We start from the raw sequence: 18379 nt of genomic DNA, 5'->3' as shown, positions 1-18379 counted from the left end.
TGCACAGCTCTAGAGCCGGGTAGACTTGAGTCCGGACTCCAGCTCTGCATTTGGCTGGCATCAGGACCTTGGCCAAGGCACTCTGCCTCTCTGAGCCTCAGTTTTATTTTTTGTTTGTTTGTTTTGGAGAGAGAGGCCCACTCTGTCACCCAGGCTAGAGTGCAGTGGTGTGATCTCGGCTCACTGCAACCTCTGCCTCCTGGGTTCAAATGATTCTCGTGCCTCAGCCTCCTAAGTAGCTGGGATTACAGGTACGCGCCACCATGCCCAGCCAATTTTTGTATTTTAGTAGAGACGGGGTTTCGCCACATTGGCCAGGTTGGTCTCGAACTCCTGACCTCATGTGATCTGCCCGCCTGGGCCTCCCAAAGTGCTGGGATTACAGGCGTGAGCTAGTGCACCCCGCCCTGAGCCTGTTTTTTTCCTCTATAAAACACAAGTGTTACACTGGGCTTGGAGAGGTTGTTCCAAGGGTTCAAAGACAGCATGTGTGAGAAGCACTCGAGTCAAAAAACGCTGGTGCCTTTTGTCTTTGCCCCTACATGGATTACAACCATCTTCAGGCTGGGACAGAAGCAGACAACACTATTCTCCAGGCCTGTACTTTTCACACTGCCAGGCATGACCCAGACAACAGCCAGTGGATCACGAAGGCAACGAAAGCAGATTATCACCAGCATTTTTTGGAATAAATAGAACAAAGTACAATATTTCAGAATGCTTCACATGGTCAGGGTTAGGTACTGGGTCATGAAACCACCGTTCCCAGCATACGTACGTGTTAAGTTTCTGCACACATTGGGTCACAATTTAAAACACATTTCCTTTTGCAAGTAAAGGTGGGAAAAGTTTGAAAGACACTATTGACTTTTGGCCTAGAATCCTAAGAAACTAATCAGAAGCCCTAAAACAGATAAGGGAGAAGCTAAAGGCTCAGGTCCTGCCTGGATCCCCTCCCGTCCTCCAGCACCGCGGGCCCCAGCCAGGAATCTGAGGGGCAGGGCTCGCAGTCAAATGCACACGGTGGGGCAGCCTGTGCAGGAGCTTTGTGTTCACAGCTGTGAAGAAAATCACCATTTGCTGAATAAAGGTCCCCTTTAAAGCAGGCCCTAAACACTTCTACCCAGTATAGCCAGGCAGGCCAGCCCAGCATCCCCGCCAGCGCCACTCACGGCCCCATGTTCACTGTCCTGTCACCAGCGCCTTGTGGCTTCAGCTACAAGATTCAACCTCCAAAACCCTCGTCCTTCATAGCAAAGGTCAGTGGAGTGAGAACAGTCCAGGGTTTCGGACAGAAGCAACAAACCAAGAATCCCAAAGGCACACTCTTAAGGGCACAGACAAGGCTGCTTTAGCTAAGGGTCAGCTTCCTTTCAAATGATACTTGAATTTTACCTTCCAGAAGGCCTTTTCCCTGATGAAGAAAGTGGGCAACAACAACAAAACCAAACCAGCCAGCTATCTGTTCACAGTGGTTTGACATTTACCATACGATTTAGTGGAACGTGCCTTTCTGGTCGAATAGTACATTCTTTACTTCTGCGGAGCCCCTTCTATGAGTCGGGTGGTGCCGCACGGTCACCCTACAGCACCCTGTGGGGTGAATCACTGTGGCCTCCAGATAAGGAACTGGGAGCTCAGCCGGGCTTCACAGCCTTCCCCAAGACCACAAGGCAATAATGGGAGAAGCTGGGTTTGGGCTGGGGCTGCTGGATCCCGGAGGCACCCTCTTCCCACCATGTGATCTGAGAGGCTGCTCCCTTCCACACACAGGTCTCCCAGCCCTCTTACCTGGCCCTCAAACATGGTGCTCTCTGGGCTAACAGCCACACCACATCCTCAGCAACCCCTTTCACCACAGCATGAAGACCTGCCTGGCCCAATGCTGCTGCGTAGACCTCTCAGGATCCTTGTATCTGTCTCAGGATGCCTGTACTCACATGTCCCGCAGGCACCTCAAAATCACCCATCTGAAGTCAAATCCACTAACTGCCCTGGCCGAATCTTCTCCCTTTGTCTTTGGTCTCAGCTGAAGGCATCAGCAAACCCCTTCCCCAACCGCAGTCAAGAGCTGACCATGATTCTCTGACATACCCACAATATTTCCACGGGGCCTTCTCTCCACCTACTTCAGCTTTTTCCCCCTTAATTGGTCTCTCTGTTCCCAGGCTCTCCTGCCTTCCAGGTAACTTAAAACTCGCCGCTGGATCTGCCCCACCCTCATCCTCAGCAGAAGCCTTCTCCCACTCCCCCTGGCCCCGCAATCCTGCCCAAGCTCCAGAGCTTGGGTCTAAGAGCCACCGTGACCTGGCCTCCCCACCTCATCGCCTGCCGTCCTCTGCCCTTTACTTTCAACCTCTACCCCACCAGACCTGGCTACAGTGCCCGCTGACTCTGGAATGGCACATGCACTTGTCACCTTCGCTCTATGTACTCTGAACCCTGTGCTGGGTCCAGGACCTCCTGCCTTCCAAGACGGCACTCATCTCACGTGGACAGTGTCCATGGACACACGTGTCTCCCACAAGCCAGGAGCTCCTGACAGGCAAGCGCTGCCCTTGCTCCTCAGGCCACCTCTATACCCAGCGAGGGCCTGCACAGGCCGGGTGCTTAGGACGGGTCCTTTAAGGAATGGACAGCACTTTGGAAACAAACAGGCCCAAGATACCATTTCTCCCCTTGAGGGAATTCAGGAGGGCCAGGCGGAGGCACTGATGGAAATAAAACTCAAGGGCAGGGCCATCAGGGAAGGCTGGAAAGCAGGATATGAGGACTCAGCCGGGCCATGAAGAAGTTGGCAGAGAAGAGAGTGAAGAACAGACAAGGGCTGAGAAATGCTCTGAAAACACAGGGAAAAGCCAGTCTTACCAATCAATTAGGTAGATATCTGGAGTTAGGTTGTTCTTCTTGAAATGCGCAAATAATTTCGGCAAATTTTCTTCAAAGAATACTTCAAATGCAGCAAAATAAGTCAACATCTAGGGAGATAATATGAAATTTACTCAGAAACTATCTGCACAAGTTTTCAATTTACAAAAAAGTCAATATATGTATATCTTTAGACTCTAACAATTACCTTCTTCTGTAATTACTAATACACTTTGAATGGCAACTTATTGTAGGTACTATTCAAATTATAAACAAGCACTATTTCTAATCTTCACAATGACATCAATAGCTACACCTCATCTTCTTCAATTCATAGAAAAGGGAACTGAAACCCAAAGCAGTTATGGAACTTGCCAAATAAGGGCACAAGCTTTGTAGGTGGTGAAGCTGGGAATGAATTTGTGCCTGTCCCGCTGCAAAGGTGGAGCCTGTACAGACTCACTCTTTCCTAAAAACCAGGAATATATGAACGTGTAAAAGTATCTGGAGGCCGGGTGCGGTGGCTCACGCCTGTAATCCCAGCACTTTGGGAGGCCGAGGCGGGTGGATCATGAGGTCAGGAGATCGAGACCATCCTCGCTAACACGGTGAAACTCCGTCTCTATTAAAAATACGAAAACGAAAAATTAGCCAGGCGTGGTGGCGGGCGCCTGTAGTCCCAGCTACTCGGGAGGCTGAGGCAGGAGAATGGCGTGAACCCGGGAGGCGGAGCTTGCAGTGAGCCGAGATTGCGCCACTGCACTCCAGCCTGGGCGACACAGCGAGACTCCATCTCATAAAAAAAAAAAAAAAAGTATCTGGAAAAGCAGGCATGCCTCGTCCAACCCCTGGCACTTCCAGGGGGCTACACGACTCATGTCTGAGTCAACGGCAGCACCCCTCCAGCTGACAGAGGCACACCTTTGAATGCAACGAGGGGGAAACACTACAGGGAAAGGAGGAAAGGAGGGCGTTACAGCCCGTAGTTTATGGAACTTGCTTTCCAACGGTGGACGGTTTTTTAAGGAAGCAAAATGTACAAAGCTGGGAAGCAGTGCTGACAGCAGAAAGAACTCCAGCTGGACTGGGGGCAGCACCCGTCTGATAGTGGCCCAGTTCTGCTCCAGTGCTCACCAGCTGGGCGCCTGGGGGCAGATCACGACTCTGGTGTCTGTGCATCCGAAGGAGGGGCTCTACTGTAGACGGTGGCTCCCAAAAGGGAGTGATTTGGTCTCTAAGGCAACACTGGTCAATGTGAAGATACTTCTGGTCGTCATAACCGGGGGCAGGTGCTGCTGGCACGGGGATATGGAGGCTGGCAAGCTGCTTAGCATCCTCCAGCGCACAGGACATCCCCCAGCAGAGTCACACAGTCCTAAGTTCAACGGGGCTGCCAGGGAGAAAATCTGCTGCTGTCATGAAGACCCCACTCAACATTATGACTCTATGGTTTCTCCTTCAAAATACAAGCTATGATTCCTAGGCACAATTTCTACCACATTTCCAAAGAGAAAGCTGGGGTCTTATCTTCAAAATCAGCAGAAACTTAGATGGGAATCATGTATTTATTTATAAAAAGATAAAATTAAATTTACATGCAGGAATTATTTTCAGGAATTAATATCACAAGCAACGTAAGGCCAGTATATACTGTGCCAATGAGTTATTTCAAGAGTAAGAACGCTTCCTCAAGATTTATTTTCTGTTTCTGACCATTACTTTTCTTGGAAAGGTAAGTTTTTACCTGATTATGAAAGTCATACCTGTAAACACTCACTGTAGATAACTTAGGAAACACATAAACACTATTAATCCATCATTCAAAAAACTATAAACACTAGTAATTCTGTGGCATATTTCCTTTTATTGTTAAATACAACAGTCACTATAGTTTACGTTTTATCTTACATACACTGAATTAACATCTTGAACACTTTCTCACAATGCAGCTCTTTGTAAGCATCACTACTGATCACTTACCAAATTTTAATTTACCATTCTGCATTCTCCTAACCTCATTTCAGCTATTCTCACATTTACAATTGTAAATAAGTGTGTAATGACTATCTTTGTGCATAATGCTTTGTCCACATTTATGACTTTCTTAGAAGTGATTCTTATGAGCAGAACTGCACACCAATGCTATTTACAGCTATTGATACTTAATACCAAGTTGTCTTCCAAAAGGACTGTGCCAATTTACAGTCCCAGTAATAGCTACCAAATTTACCAACAACTTTTTTTTTTTTTTTTTTTGAGATGGGGTCTCGCTCTGTCGCCCAGGCTGGAGTGCAGTGGCGCAATCTCGGCTCACTGCAAGCTCTGCCTCCCAGGTTCACGCCATTCTCCTGCCTCAGTCTCCCGACTAGCTGGGACTACAGGCGCCTGCCACCACGCCCAGCTAATTATTTTGTATTTTTAGTAGAGACGGGGTTTCACTGTGTTAGCCAGGCCTCGTGTGTTACTCCTGACCTCGTGATCCGCCCTCCTCGGCCTCCCAAAGTGCTGGGATTACAGGCGTAAGCCACCATGCCCGGCCAACCAACAGCTTTTAAATACTTTATGTATGTACTATCTGAGCAAGACATACTCAGTAAACCTTAAGATATCAAGGAAGAAATACTCCCTAGATGATCTAAAGTATTAGATCATTTTAGTCTTGAAGTACTGGTAATAATTATCAGCAAATCAGACAGTGATGGCCGGGCACAGTGGCTCACGCCTGTAATCCCAGCAATTTGGGAGGCCGAGGCAGGTGGATCACTTGAGGTCAGGAGTTCAAGACCAGCCTGGCCAACATGGCAAAACCCCATCTCTACTAAAAATACAAAAAATTAGCCTGGCATGGTGGCAGACACCTGTAATCCCAGCTACTAGGGAGGCTGAGACACGATAATTGCTTGAACCCAGGAAGCGGAGGTCGTAGTGAGCTGAGATGGCACCATTGCACTCCAGTCTGGGTGAGAGAGCAAGACCCTGCCAAAAAAACAAAACAAAACAAAACAAAAAAAACAAAAAAAACCCTGATGGGCTTATTAAATGAGTGACTTCTATGCTACAGAAAGAACAAGGGCTTAGGAACCAGAACGGATTCAAATCTCAGCTCCTCCACTTACCAGATGCATGCCTTGAACGAGTCCCTTCACTTTGAGCCTTATCTCCTCACCTGAACTGCGCAGAGGGCTTATCTGGGAGGCATGTAAACCCTACCCCCCACTGTCACCACCCCCCACTGTCACCGCCTCCCACTTACGCAGTGTCATAAAGACTAGAGCGGTCCACTAAACAAATGGCTGCCTTTTAAAAAATAAAGGAGTATGGTCTCCAGCGTGTCTCCTTTCTCCCGGGTGTGGGCACACTTCACAAAGCAGGGTGACAATGAGCAGCAACACCGCTCGATTACGACATGTTCTACCCAACAGGCCCAAACGTGGGCACTGCCATCAAGCTGTGACTTTGACACCAAGTGTGTGTTAAGTTTAAGCAGGAGCCACACTTCTTCCTTCATTAAAAGAATACATTTTCAAAAATACAGGTAATGTTTTTCTGAGAGAACGTATTAAGAAACCCAGACATACGGCTACTAACCGTGTCTTTTTCAGCTTCCATGCAATACGCTGCTCAAAATCATCCTCCACCTTACAGTGCTGCTTACTCTAAACATCTCTTCACAGAGAGAAAATGTATTCTTTTTTTCCACCGAAAACACAGACGAGTAAGCAACTCTTGACATTTAAAGACACAGTACCCAGGGCCCGAACACAGAGGATACTCACAAGGCCATGGTCCACTCTAAAAAACGCCATTTGACAGGGTTTATTCAGAAGGTTAGAAAAGGCAATAAAGGCATCTGCAGTATCTAAGTTCAAGATCAACACTGCTGCTATGAAGGACATGCCCTGGACCTGAGAGAGGAGAGAAAGGCACGTTAAAATCACAGTGGCCACAGGGTCACCGTAGTGTGTTCATTTTTAGCAAAGACAAACCTACCACCCTCACACTAGAAGTGTCCCTAGAGCCGCCCCACTCCTCCGGCCACCCAACGCTGAACTGCCCTCACTCAGAACCACCACTCTGCCACCCCAGCCACCCGGCCTGCTCTCCTTCAGTTCCCACCCCTGCTCCCACCCCGCAAATGGAAAACCCTAAACCAGCCCTCTTAGGCCCAGAGCATCTGAAATACTGCTCTTTCCTATGTCCAGTGTCCCGGTGCCGTAGACTTGTGTTATCTATCTCAATAAGCTTAATATCAAACCATGCATGCGCACACACATCCGCGAAGCCACAGAAGTATCAGCAGTGCTTTTTAATGGTTGCTGCTTTTAACGTGGTTAAGGTTTCTTTGATTTAATGTTGGAAAAAAGTCACATGCCAAAAATGAAAATTGCATTCGATTAAAATGTGATTAATGCCCCAGAGCAGCCACGACAGCTCAATTTCTTTAAGAGGAACCTGAGTCAACTCACTTAACTCACTTACCACGAGACTTTTCATACTCCTCGGCAAAAACGAAGGCACTGGCATGACATTTGCAGCTAACACGTGCTGGACAATATCTGACTTTCTTTTTAGATAACAACATTATAAAATACTGAGAAACTTCACTTACATAACCCACATCTGGCCGGTAACAAGTATAAGCGCCCAAAATACTGTGCAACATGTCATGATATGGACCACCCTAAAAGGATCAACACAGCAAAAACAACACATGCATGAGTACTGTTAGTGCTCAGACGAACATCTGATACTACTACTGCTGCCGCTGCCACTCCTGCTATTTTCAGCATTATGAAATATGCCAAGCATGATGCCAGCAGCTCTATATGCATATGGAATTTAACAAATTACCCATTCACAGCTAGGGAAGTCTGCAGCTCACGCTATGTAACTGCTCTGAAAAGAAGCTGGAGGGCCAGGCAGGAGCACCACCCTGGACAAATATCCTTTATTTGGCTCCTGCTGTATAACTGTGTTCCCTTTCAAAGCCCACCAGGAGAGCCAGGTATGCGGGGGCTCTTCAAAGCAGGTGACTACTCAGTGTCACTCAGGCCGTCTCCCACTGTGCCCCACATCCTGACTATCCTTTCTGCCTCTCCTCCCAGGCTTATCACTCTCCTTGTTTCTGTTGGTTTTCTGAATGGCAAGTTTAGGAAATACACTCTTCTAAGTCCTGGTGGCTACCATTTTGTTTAAACATTCTCCCAGCTCTTCCACCCCTCTAACATTTCCACTTGCTCTTATAACTGCTTCCAAAAAGTCAATTGTTGGAATTATTTCCCCAATGGAGCACAGAAGAAAGTGCAGAGATGCCTCACGCTGAAGTTAGCATGTGAGAAGATACAACAAAAGGACAGGTTCAGTCCCAAACACTTACTGTCTATGTCTACCAGGTACCTACATTTAACACAAGGAATAAAAATCACACATGGTGAGAGATAAGAAGTCACTCCACAGGTGACCACAGGTGGCTTACAAAAGAATGCCATGGCCCAGACCATCATATTCTAGCATGTGAAAAGAGCTAAGTAAAAGAAAAGACAGTTCCAAATCACAGAGGGACAAAAGGAAAAATAGCAATGAGAGGGTAAAAATGCCAGCATCCAGGCCTAGGGTGGGGGTGACGGTCTGCAGTGGCACCAAATGCCAGTCTAAGGACTAGTGTGACTGTAACAAAGTTTTATCCAGGCCAAGGCTAAACAAGAAAACAAGAGCATTACACTGAACTTCTCTTAAAGCTAAATGTGTTTAACTTCAAAGGTTTTCTACCGTTGTAATTTCGATCCTTCCATCTCACTTTGGTGCTAAATGTCATTTCTGTCATTTCTTAAATGAAAACAATGATGCGGCTGGGCGCAGTGGCTCACGCCTGTATTCCCAGCACTTTGGGAGGCCGAGGTGGGCTGATCACGAGGTCAGGAGTTCGAGACCAGCCTGGCCAACATGGTGAAAACCCGTCTCTCCCTAAAATGCAAAAATTAGCCAGGCATGGTGGTGGGTGCCTGTAATCCCAGCTACTCGGGAGGCTGAGGCAAGAGAATCGCTTGAACCCGGGAGGCGGAGGCTGCGGTGAGCCGAGATCATGCCATTCCACTCCAGCCTGGGCAACAAGAGCGAAACTCTGTCTCAAAAAAGAAAAAATAATAAATGACCTTAACTGCTTTTGGACACAGTTCTCCACTCTCCCCCTCAACTGTTCTTTGCTTTCTTTTAGTAAACTCAATCTCTGCTCATTAGAAAGGTTACTAAGCTACTTTCTACCAGGGCTGAGAGATCTCTACATTGGAATGAAAGACCTGGGAAGAAACTTCTTTGGCCTCCGCCCACCACCTCTTTCATCACACACTTCTGCCACCACCTGGTAGGATATGGCCCTTTGACCTCTGGTTGGATTTAGTTGTCTTTCAGTTTCAAATTACGTTCAAAGAGATTTAATAACAAAAAGCACTGTTATCTGCCAAGTACTGTCAACAGCCCTGTTAGGCCAGTATGATCACCCTGTTACAGATGAACAAACTAAGGCTCAAAAAGATGGATTTGCCCAAAGCTAGTGGGAAGGCAATCTGTGATAAAAGCCCAAATTTGTTTGAAATCAAAGGTAAAACTCCTTTCCAGAAAGCTGCCTCTCCTGGATCCCTCTGAGAGCCTGGTGAGGGGGCACGTGAACCGTGGGTGGAGGGTGGGGAAGGGCCTTTTGGGCTGGGGGAAGAAAGTCTTTCCCCTCCAAGGGCCAAGAAACAGGAGCAGCTCCAAGAGAGCGATGCAGGGGCTGCAAAGCATGGAGTGCACTGAGGCCTATGGAGACGAACTGGGGCAAAAGGGCAGAGAAGCTGAAATCTGCCCTGTGGGAGAAGCAGGGTTCCAGGAAACAGGCTCCCAGCTAAGTCAACTGCCTGCTGCAAGCCAGTGGGGTGCTCGCTGGGCTCACGCACCAGACACCAGGACCAAAGCTGCTGGAGCTTTGTAGATTCCCTCTCTTTCCTCTTCTGAAAAGATTTCTGAAGACCCACACGGAAATCCACAAAGATGAGAACCTGAGTAAAGGCAGTGAGAACAGACAAGGGACAGGTGCAAAGGTATTCTGCAAGAACAACTGCCCCCGCAAAAACCCGTTATAGATAAGAAAGGGATCAAAAGATCCCCAGATTAACGTCTGCTGGCTCAAAGAATAGAAGGTCTTTAAAGAGTTCAGCTCAGATGACCCCACAACCTACTGCTGGCAGCCCTGTCCTGTGTTCAGATGCCCAGGAGGAGGCTCCCCTCTGCTTTTCCTGCCACCTAAGGAGCCTGTCCTATCTCCCACAGCAGGCTTCTGTCCCTCAGCTGCACTGCTCTCCTGGTCTACCTGCTCAGAAACCTGTCACCCCGGCTTGGCCACCCACCCAGGCTGCCAGGGATTTCCCTTTCTCACACGGGCTCACTGCACTGGGCTCATCTGAGCCGAAGCCCATCACACCAACATGGCCTTGCTGAGCGCAGACTGCTACACACAGTCCTGAGAGCAGAGGAGTGTCCAAGAAAGCGCCAGCAGACACAGCCACCCATGGGGACCCTCTCAGACCAGACCTACAGGGGCCCCGAGACATGTATCTCAAGAGGAAGACAGAATTGTCTTTTGGAGCACAAGTATGGACATAGTAAATATTTGTTGGAAATGATCAGTTACACTTATTTTAAAAAGTCTAAATGTATTTAATAGTAACATCCACCCTACCTCCTAACACCCCCAAAAACCCAAGTACCTTTCAAACTTGACAACAAATATACACAGTTCAGCATCTATGAATTTTAGACAAAACATACTTGAAAGCAACAAGTCACCACCACTTACTTGCTGGAAAATGCAGAGATTAGGAAATGTTCTAGAAATGTCCAGTTTAATAAGCTCCAGACTGGCTTCTCTGTCTGCTGCTGAAAAACCAGCATCTGTCAAAAGATGCCAAAAATAATTACATTCCTCAAGGGCACGAATGTAGGACAATTACGAGCCTTTGAAGTTTTACAAGAACAAAACACGGAAAAAAGTTTTTCAGAAGCACACTGACCTAATCACATCTTGACTCAGAGTGCAGCTTCAGAGTATTTAACAGATTGCAGGGTTTCTTAGAGAACAAAATATCTTATGGCACCAGCTAATTCTAGATTATCATTAGATATTTTCCAGAGTCTGAAATCAAAATCTAACATTTTGCCTCTCATCAATAACAATCAGTGGAAAGCAAGGACAAGTAGGAGAATAAACACAAAGAAACTCCAAGCATAAACACACACACACACACACATATATCACTGCTCGATCTCAAACATCTTCAGTGTAAACTCACTAGATGTAGAAACTATTGCGGTATTATACTCATGTAATATTTCTTTTTTCTTTTATCTTTTTGTAGCGACAGGGTCTTTCTTTGTTGCTCAGGCTGGCTTTGAACTCCTGGCCTTATCTGCCCACCTCAGCCTCCCAAAGTGCTAGGATTACAGGCACGAGCCACTGTGCCCAGCCAGTGTGTAGTATCTCTAACAAGTAATCATAAATAATTTGTTTTATACTTTTTAGAATTCTAATACCACAAAGACTGTAAAAATGATCAGTAAAATCATGTATTTCTTAACCAAAAGAAGTAATCATCCTTGTGTGTTATGGAGAATTCTAAAGGCATAATCTAGCAAACATGCAGTGTTCTTGTCTCTGTAAATCTGAGCTCCTCTATAAGCCAGTATTCAACTAATCCCAGACACCAGGGTACTGGAAGTCACATGAACAACTTTAAAGGGAATGGCACTGGTTATGACGGGCCCTCCAGCATGTCAGGACACAAACACCTCGCAGGAACTGGGATGTTCTATTTCTTTTTTTTTTTTTAGAGGGAGTCTTGCTCTGTCACCTAGGCTGGAGTGCAGTGGTGAGATCTTGGCTCACTGCAACCTCCACCTCCAGGGTTTAAGCGATTCTCCTTCCTCAGCCTCCCGAGTAGGTGGGATTACAGGTGCACATCACCACGCCTAGCTAATTTTTGTTTTTTCTTGAGACAGAGTCTCACTCTGTTACCCAGGCTGGAATGCAGTGGCACGGTCTTGGCTCCCTGCAACCTCCACCTCCCGGGTTCAAGTGATTCTCCTGCCTCGGCCTCCCGAGTAGCTAGGATTACAGGCACCCACCACCACACCTGGCTAATTTTTCTATTTTTAGTAGAGACGGGGGTCTCGCCATGTTGACCAGGCTGGTCTCGAACTCCTGACCTTGTGATCCACCCGCCTCAGCCTCCCAAAGTGCTGGGATTACAGGCGTGAGCGCCTGCACCCAGCCTAATTTTTGTATTTTTAGTAGAGACAGGGTTTCACCATGTTGGCCAGGCTGGTCTCAAACTCCTGACCTCAGGTGATCCATCTACCTCAGCCTCCCAAAGTGCTGGGATTACAGGCATGAGTCACCACACCCGGCCAATTTCTTATAAAAAGTTTTTACCTTTAATTTTTGCTAAAAAAAACAAAACAAAAAAAACCCTTTTCTCGTGGAGCTTTTTATGACTCCACAACAATCTCTACTGTAGTTAACGTCAACTTTCTTCACTATGTAATAAAGAATGACAAACATAATTGACCACAGCAGTCCGCTGGTTTTAGAAGACATTCTACCTTCGTTCTCCACTTCAGAGCCTCCTGTGCTAAGGGACCGCCACCTCTCCTTGGCTCGGGCAAGACAGATGTCAAAGAGCTCTGGAAGAAAAGCCTCTGGGTAAGTATTACGTGCACATGTATTTTTCGTCAAAACCACCACAGAACACAGTACTATTTCCTCCAAATACTTAAGTTCAACTATAATAGGCTTAATGCATACTTAACAGGCTACTTAAACAATTCCCCCCAACTTGGCCTGAAAGTAATTTTATTGTTTAAAGACACAGCCTGAAACAAAGAAAGATTACACACATCACTGCTATTTAGTTCTCTGACACAGCCTACCCACAAAACTGCCTTGTTTTGGTCTTTGTGACTTGTCTACTGCCTCTCCCAGACCGCAAGATCCCTGGGGCAAGACGGTGAAGCTCTCTCACTCCCTCTGTATCCAAAACACACAGCACTGGAATTGACACAGAGCAACCCAATCAAGGAATGTCTCAATGACCGAGGGAGGGAAGGAAGGACCAGCAGAGAATCATTGGGTTTCAAGAAAGGACATGGTGCAATTGCCCCCACCTGGCACAGGCCTCGTCTTGCTGCCTGGCAGTGAAGCAGGGGTGGGGGAAGATCCCAGGAATACGCAGAAGCTTCAAAAAACAGGACTCTTGCTGGCAGAGAAGGATCATGACAGCCTCCAAATCTCCATATTTAGAACTTATTTTTGTGACAGCTCTCTTCGGGTGGTTTGGTAATAGTTAAACAACACGACTTCACTAGCATACACAGACCTCCACAGGTATATCCGTGCCCCATTCTTCTTTCAAGGACAAGTGTGAAGGCTGAATCCACAGAGCTCCTTCTCAGCGCCCTGTTCCCCGACACAGCCCAGTCTCAGGTGCTTCCTGGTCATCTGGCTTTTTCTTTTTTTTTCCGAGATGGAGTCTTGCTCTGTCGCCCAGGCTGGAGAGTGCAGTGGCGCAATCTTGGCTGACTGTAACCTCTGCCTCCCAGATTCAATCTCAATTTTCTTGCCTCAGCCTCCTGAATAGGTGGGATTACAGGTGCACGCCACCGCACCTGGTGAATTTTTTATTTTTTTTAGTAGAGATGGGATTTGGCCGTGTTGGCCAGGCTGGTCTCAAACTCCTGACCTCAGGTGATTCCCCCCTGCCACAACCTCCCAAAGTGCTGGGATGACAAGCGCCAGCTGCTGCACCCGCCACTCCTCTGGCTCTGATGTTCCTGATCAGCTCCCAGATGTCTCAGATTACACACAATCACTTGTCTATCACTAAGACTTTAATTGCAGCTACCCATGGAATTTTCAGCACTTTATTTTTCCCATCATTACTTTTGGAAAATACAGCAGAGCACATCTGCCTTCTGGGCAGTGCACACTATTTTATTAAAATGTAATCCAAAATCTAGTTTCGCTATTATGGTATCAGTGTCCAAAGCAGTAACTCAGCACGCATGCTCCCAGGACAATCCCACACTGCTCTGAGCTGCTGCCTCATGCACCTGGTGGCACTTCCACCTGCTTTCGGCCTCCAGGAGGCCGGCCAAGCTTTGGTCATTTTGGCAGGAGGTGGATGAAAACCACTGTGTGGCCATGGCCACTAGGGAATCCCTTCCCAACTAAGGCATTTGACATTTAAGTCACAGAGGCTGCCAGCCTCGGGGTTTAATGGGTCAAAGTGTCAAAGAGTTGTAAGTCTCCCCCATGGCTTTCTTTATTGGTGTGCATCTGGGGAACGCTGGAGGCTGGACAGCTACCACACCTTCTGCCCAAACCCCCTGCTCCAATGTCAAAGTACAAGATTGACTGGGGCCCTAAAACTGAAGTTTTAATAGTACTATTAGGTCGACTTTCACTAAGTTTTCAATTGTACAACCACAAGAGCAAAACCTTAGGGCTCTCCAAGTCAGAACATGGGATTTAGGATTAGCCTGGGCCTAGGATCAGAGTCCTGGCCCCACACACACGAGCCAGAGACCTGGGCACAGTCCTAGCCTTTCCAGGATGCTGAGCCTTCTCTAGAGGAAAATGAGGTCAAGGTCGCACTGTCAATATTAAATAAGATCCATAAGTAAAGAACCTAATATGATGCTTGGTACTCAGCAACCAAGTTTGTTTGTGTTCTTACACTGGCTTGGAAACGTAGTAAAATCGAGATTAAGCAGGACCCAGTAAGGCAGCATTCATTCACACAGCAGGTATTTCTTAAGGGCCTGCCCCATGCAGAGACCCAGGCTTGGTAAGGGTGAAAAGGTAGAGAGCACAGCAGGTGAGGGCCCAGCTTCCTGAGTACCAGTGCTAGCGGGGGCCACTGACACTGCGCGGTTCACAATACAAGACAGACACAATGTACACAAATCGAGCCAATACCAAGGTTTGGATAAATGTCTAAGACTCATGTCTAAACATGTAACTGACTCGTCAGCGGTTTAGCCCAATCCAAAACAATACGGTCCATAGGTTTTAATTTAAATAAAATCCACCCAGGCATCAGTGAGAAGCAAAAATTAAACACACACACAAGGTACTGTGCATTCCATCCAATCTGCAGAGACAAGAGTTTAGAAATAAATGCTCAGTAATTTCTCCAAACCTCAACTTCTGAGGATACTTTTAAAAAACCATTTCCACAAGTTAAACGTTATTCATCTTCTCACACAGAGATGTTAAAACAAAATTTTGGTAGGTATGGATTTAGCCAAGAGGGAGTTCCGGGCCCCCACGTTCCTCTGTAGGACCACACCGCACAGAAGCCAGTCACCAGCCAGCTGGCTGACGCTCCGTGAGGGCGTGAGGGGAGACCTGCCTGGGATGAGGCTAAGATAACCTGTCAGGATAAGAACAACAATCAAAACCCCAACTAGAGAGCGAAGATACAAATCAAATGTTTAAACTCAAGGCCTTCATGAGCATAAAAACCACATCATCAACTCCCCAGCAGGTCCTAGGCCCAAGAAAGAGCAGGAAGGTAGCCCCGTCTTTCCACAGCTCAGACCGCAGGCAGGGAGGCAGAAGTGAAAAGAATGGCTGCCAGTATTAATCACTTAATTTGAAGTCTGCGGGCTCCTGGCACCTATTTCACTCTGGACGCGCTTCAGAGTGCTCAGGACACCTGGGGAAGTGAATTCAGCCTGAGGGAGGAAGTGTACATGCAAACTGAGTAGATGCAATACAGCGAGAGATCGGTGAGCATGGTTCTCACCCAGCAGACAAACTCCCAGAGCCCCAAGGACCGCAGTCCCAGCACAGTATGTTGTCTCCTCCAAGGCTGCCTGAAAAAAAATCCCACAAAATACCAACAGACACCCCAGTACAATAAACACCCTCACAGCAAGAACCACCTGCCCCTTCCACACTCACGTCGCAGGCAAGGCTTGCCTTCCTAGGACTTTGATCTGCGAAGCTCAGGCACCTCCCCGATGCTCTAAGCCCTGTCTTCCAAGCCCCCTCTATTCAAGAGCTCCTGCGCTGAGCTGTCAGGTAACCGGAGTGCACAGCACTAAACCCAGGCCTCCCAACTGCCCCTCTCTCCTGAAGGACACAGTCTCCTGGTCTCTCAAAAGACACAGATTCGTGGCAATGGCTGCCATTCTTTCCAACAGGGCAAAAGGGAGAGAAGAAGCCAAAGGGCCTGGAGGTGGACTCCCCAGGATCATGCAGGCCACTCACCGTGGGTGATATTTAACTCGTTGCCAATGGCTAAGCTCCAGACTTTGCCTCTCACACTTGGAGGGATTCCCTGCCACCATAAATCTCGAACTTTTCTAGAGCACCACCTGGACAAAAACAGAAGCAGGAGTTTGAGTTTGTTCCACACAAAGACATTTGTCTACCTGCGTGCCTAGCCCCGAACCACCAAGAGCTGGGATGCACCGTTGCATCAGGCACAGCCCCTGCCCTCAGGAAGCTTAGAGTCCAGGGCTCTGTAAAGATCAAATCAACAATCCCCTTCCACTGGCAGCTGCCGTGGCAGGTATGGAGGAGCACAGCATAGCGTAGGTCACCACGAACCAGAGGCCCAGGCACGCTCTGGGGCCAAGTTCTGAATGACCTGAGCACATGAAGGATGGGGAGGACTTTCTGAGCAGAAAACACAGGAAAAAGCAATGGCTTGGCCTCCTACAGGAACAGCACATAGCTGGGAGTGGGTGAGGAGTGCCAGGCGGCACTGCAGCAGCACTGGAGACAGAAGCAGACCCCAGCAGAGAGTCAGCAGACGGCCATCGCACCACCAATACAGGCCCAGCGCCCAGATGTGAGCTGGCAAGTTCTAACTGCGGAGAAGAACTGCTGACTCAGAACATTGTAGGCTGTACAGAGTCCTTCAGCTCTGCTGGGACACGGAACACACACTGCCAACAGCCTGGGCAAACCAGGCCCCCGTGGTGCCTCTGAACGCAGCATCGTGGGGAGCACAGGCTTGAGGCTGCAGAAAGCAGGCTGCATCCTAACTCCATCCTTACCTGTGGAATCCGGACAAATGATCTCTCCTCTCTGAACCTATACCATCCTCTCGAAAGTCAAGACGATGAAACCTACACCCAAGGGCCACTGTGAGGATGAAGTGAGATAAAGTACAAAAGCACGGAGAACAGTGCCAGGCAGCGTCCGTGTGCAGTCGACGGGAACTGCTGTGGGTCTGCATGCAATGCATTCAGACCACATCCAACCCACGGCCCTGCAGGACAGACCAGAGTGGTCTCCCTCGGTGGGAGCAGCAAGCATTCTGAGAACCTCTGTCCTTGTTACTAGATCCCATGCGAGAACAGGTATAAAGTGTTTCCTGACAGCATCCAGCCTTTTGAGGATACTGCCTTAAAAAGCATGCTCTGAGCATATTTTCCTAGTGGAGACCCTGAGCAGGGCCGCGTGACCCCTGCAGTGCTGACATGTGGGACGAGAGCAGAAGGGAAGCTGGCATCCAAGCTCCCCGAATGCCTCTGTGCGCAGCCTTGGGACTTCTGCCCGCACACTGGCCCCCACCGTTCTGAACACGAGAATAAAAACAAGACCCACAGCTGCCCCTCAGATGTAAAGAGGGCAGCAGCTGCCAGACTCTGCCAGGTGCACTCTACTGGACACTGGGGTCACTATCCTCAAAGAGAGGAAGACAGAGGCCTGAACAGACAGCTGTGTGCACACAGAACCACAGGGCCCTAGAGCCAGGGTAGGGGCAGCAAAGTCTTCCCTGAGCTTTGGAGAGCACACAGGAGTTTGCTGGCTGAGGAAGTACAGGACAAGAGCACTCCAGACACAGGGCCTGGAACATGCGAGGCCCCAGGTTTAAAAGGAGCAACACCTATGGGGGGCTCCCTAGGGAGAGGGCTCTGTCCAAGTGGAGGAGAGGCATCCGAGGGTGAGGCTGCCGAGGAAGGCAGGCCACCTCACTAAGGGTGTTGCCTGCTAAGGGTTCAAACTGTGTACTGACAGTCACAGGAAGTTACTGAAATTCTAGGTAAGGGAGGGGACACTGACTCATGCTTTAGAAGCTGGCTCAGGAGATGAGAAGAAGGTGAACTGGAAGGGAGGGGAAGGGGCTATCACAGTCTCCAAGCAAGGGATGGCGCAGGCTGAGCCAGGGTAGAGGGAAGGAAGATGATGCAACTTCAACTCGCTGCATCCAGGGTGTCACTGCTGGCTATGACGACTACAGCTGTGGCCCACAGATTCTAGAAAGACATGCTCTGCAGTTCAGCCACACCCAGAGCCACATCTTACATTGTTTCCCAGTTAGGTAAGATCTCATTATTCCAGGTGAGCACAGCGTTTCCAATGCTTTCCTCGACTCTGCATCTTTCTTCCAGCTGCTTCTTCCTTCGCTGGGCTTCTTTCAGCTCTAGAAATCACAATTTAGAAAAACAACAATCTACTAAC

At 48.3% G+C, this 18379-nt stretch overlaps 1 protein-coding gene across 18 annotated transcripts in view, besides 5 other annotated features; it reads right to left on the bottom strand.

Annotated features, from left to right (window-relative positions):
• TBC1D14 (TBC1 domain family member 14) overlaps positions 1-18379 on the bottom strand; it is a 123649-nt gene that overhangs the window by 15689 nt on the left and 89581 nt on the right. For 8 of the 18 annotated variants that reach the window (NM_001113361.2, NM_020773.3, XM_047416002.1 and 5 more), the window contains 7 exons: positions 18224-18341; positions 16175-16281; positions 12502-12582; positions 10700-10794; positions 7478-7549; positions 6645-6773; positions 2869-2978 (listed from right to left, as the gene is read on the bottom strand). In NM_001113361.2, coding sequence (NP_001106832.1) covers positions 2869-2978; positions 6645-6773; positions 7478-7549; positions 10700-10794; positions 12502-12582; positions 16175-16281; positions 18224-18341 — 712 coding nt within the window. Of the gene's footprint in view, positions 1-2868; positions 2979-6644; positions 6774-7477; positions 7550-9800; positions 9903-10699; positions 10795-12501; positions 12583-16174; positions 16282-18223; positions 18342-18379 lie in introns of those variants that run through there. The other 10 variants (XM_011513508.2, XM_011513507.4, XM_047416001.1 and 7 more) reach the window with 3 other exon arrangements.
• Positions 591-1094: an enhancer, noted in NCBI's record as "H3K4me1 hESC enhancer chr4:7018059-7018562 (GRCh37/hg19 assembly coordinates)". NCBI's record gives its function as "activates a minimal SCP1, AML or CMV promoter by ChIP-STARR-seq in naive H9 embryonic stem cells {active_cell/tissue: H9 hESC(naive)}" and the evidence as "EXISTENCE:reporter gene assay evidence [ECO:0000049][PMID:30033119]".
• Positions 1095-1598: an enhancer, noted in NCBI's record as "H3K4me1 hESC enhancer chr4:7017555-7018058 (GRCh37/hg19 assembly coordinates)". NCBI's record gives its function as "activates a minimal SCP1, AML or CMV promoter by ChIP-STARR-seq in naive H9 embryonic stem cells {active_cell/tissue: H9 hESC(naive)}" and the evidence as "EXISTENCE:reporter gene assay evidence [ECO:0000049][PMID:30033119]".
• Positions 3043-3162: an enhancer, noted in NCBI's record as "active region_21270". NCBI's record gives its function as "activates an Ori minimal core promoter by ATAC-STARR-seq in GM12878 lymphoblastoid cells {active_cell/tissue: GM12878}" and the evidence as "EXISTENCE:reporter gene assay evidence [ECO:0000049][PMID:35858748]".
• Positions 8875-9514: an enhancer, noted in NCBI's record as "OCT4-NANOG-H3K4me1 hESC enhancer chr4:7009639-7010278 (GRCh37/hg19 assembly coordinates)". NCBI's record gives its function as "activates a minimal SCP1, AML or CMV promoter by ChIP-STARR-seq in primed H9 embryonic stem cells {active_cell/tissue: H9 hESC(primed)}" and the evidence as "EXISTENCE:reporter gene assay evidence [ECO:0000049][PMID:30033119]".
• Positions 9515-10153: an enhancer, noted in NCBI's record as "OCT4-NANOG-H3K4me1 hESC enhancer chr4:7009000-7009638 (GRCh37/hg19 assembly coordinates)". NCBI's record gives its function as "activates a minimal SCP1, AML or CMV promoter by ChIP-STARR-seq in primed H9 embryonic stem cells {active_cell/tissue: H9 hESC(primed)}" and the evidence as "EXISTENCE:reporter gene assay evidence [ECO:0000049][PMID:30033119]".

Source organism: Homo sapiens, chromosome 4, assembly GCF_000001405.40.
Source record: "Homo sapiens chromosome 4, GRCh38.p14 Primary Assembly".
Lineage (NCBI taxonomy): Eukaryota > Metazoa > Chordata > Mammalia > Primates > Hominidae > Homo > Homo sapiens.
This window is presented reverse-complemented; position numbering and strand designations above follow the sequence as displayed.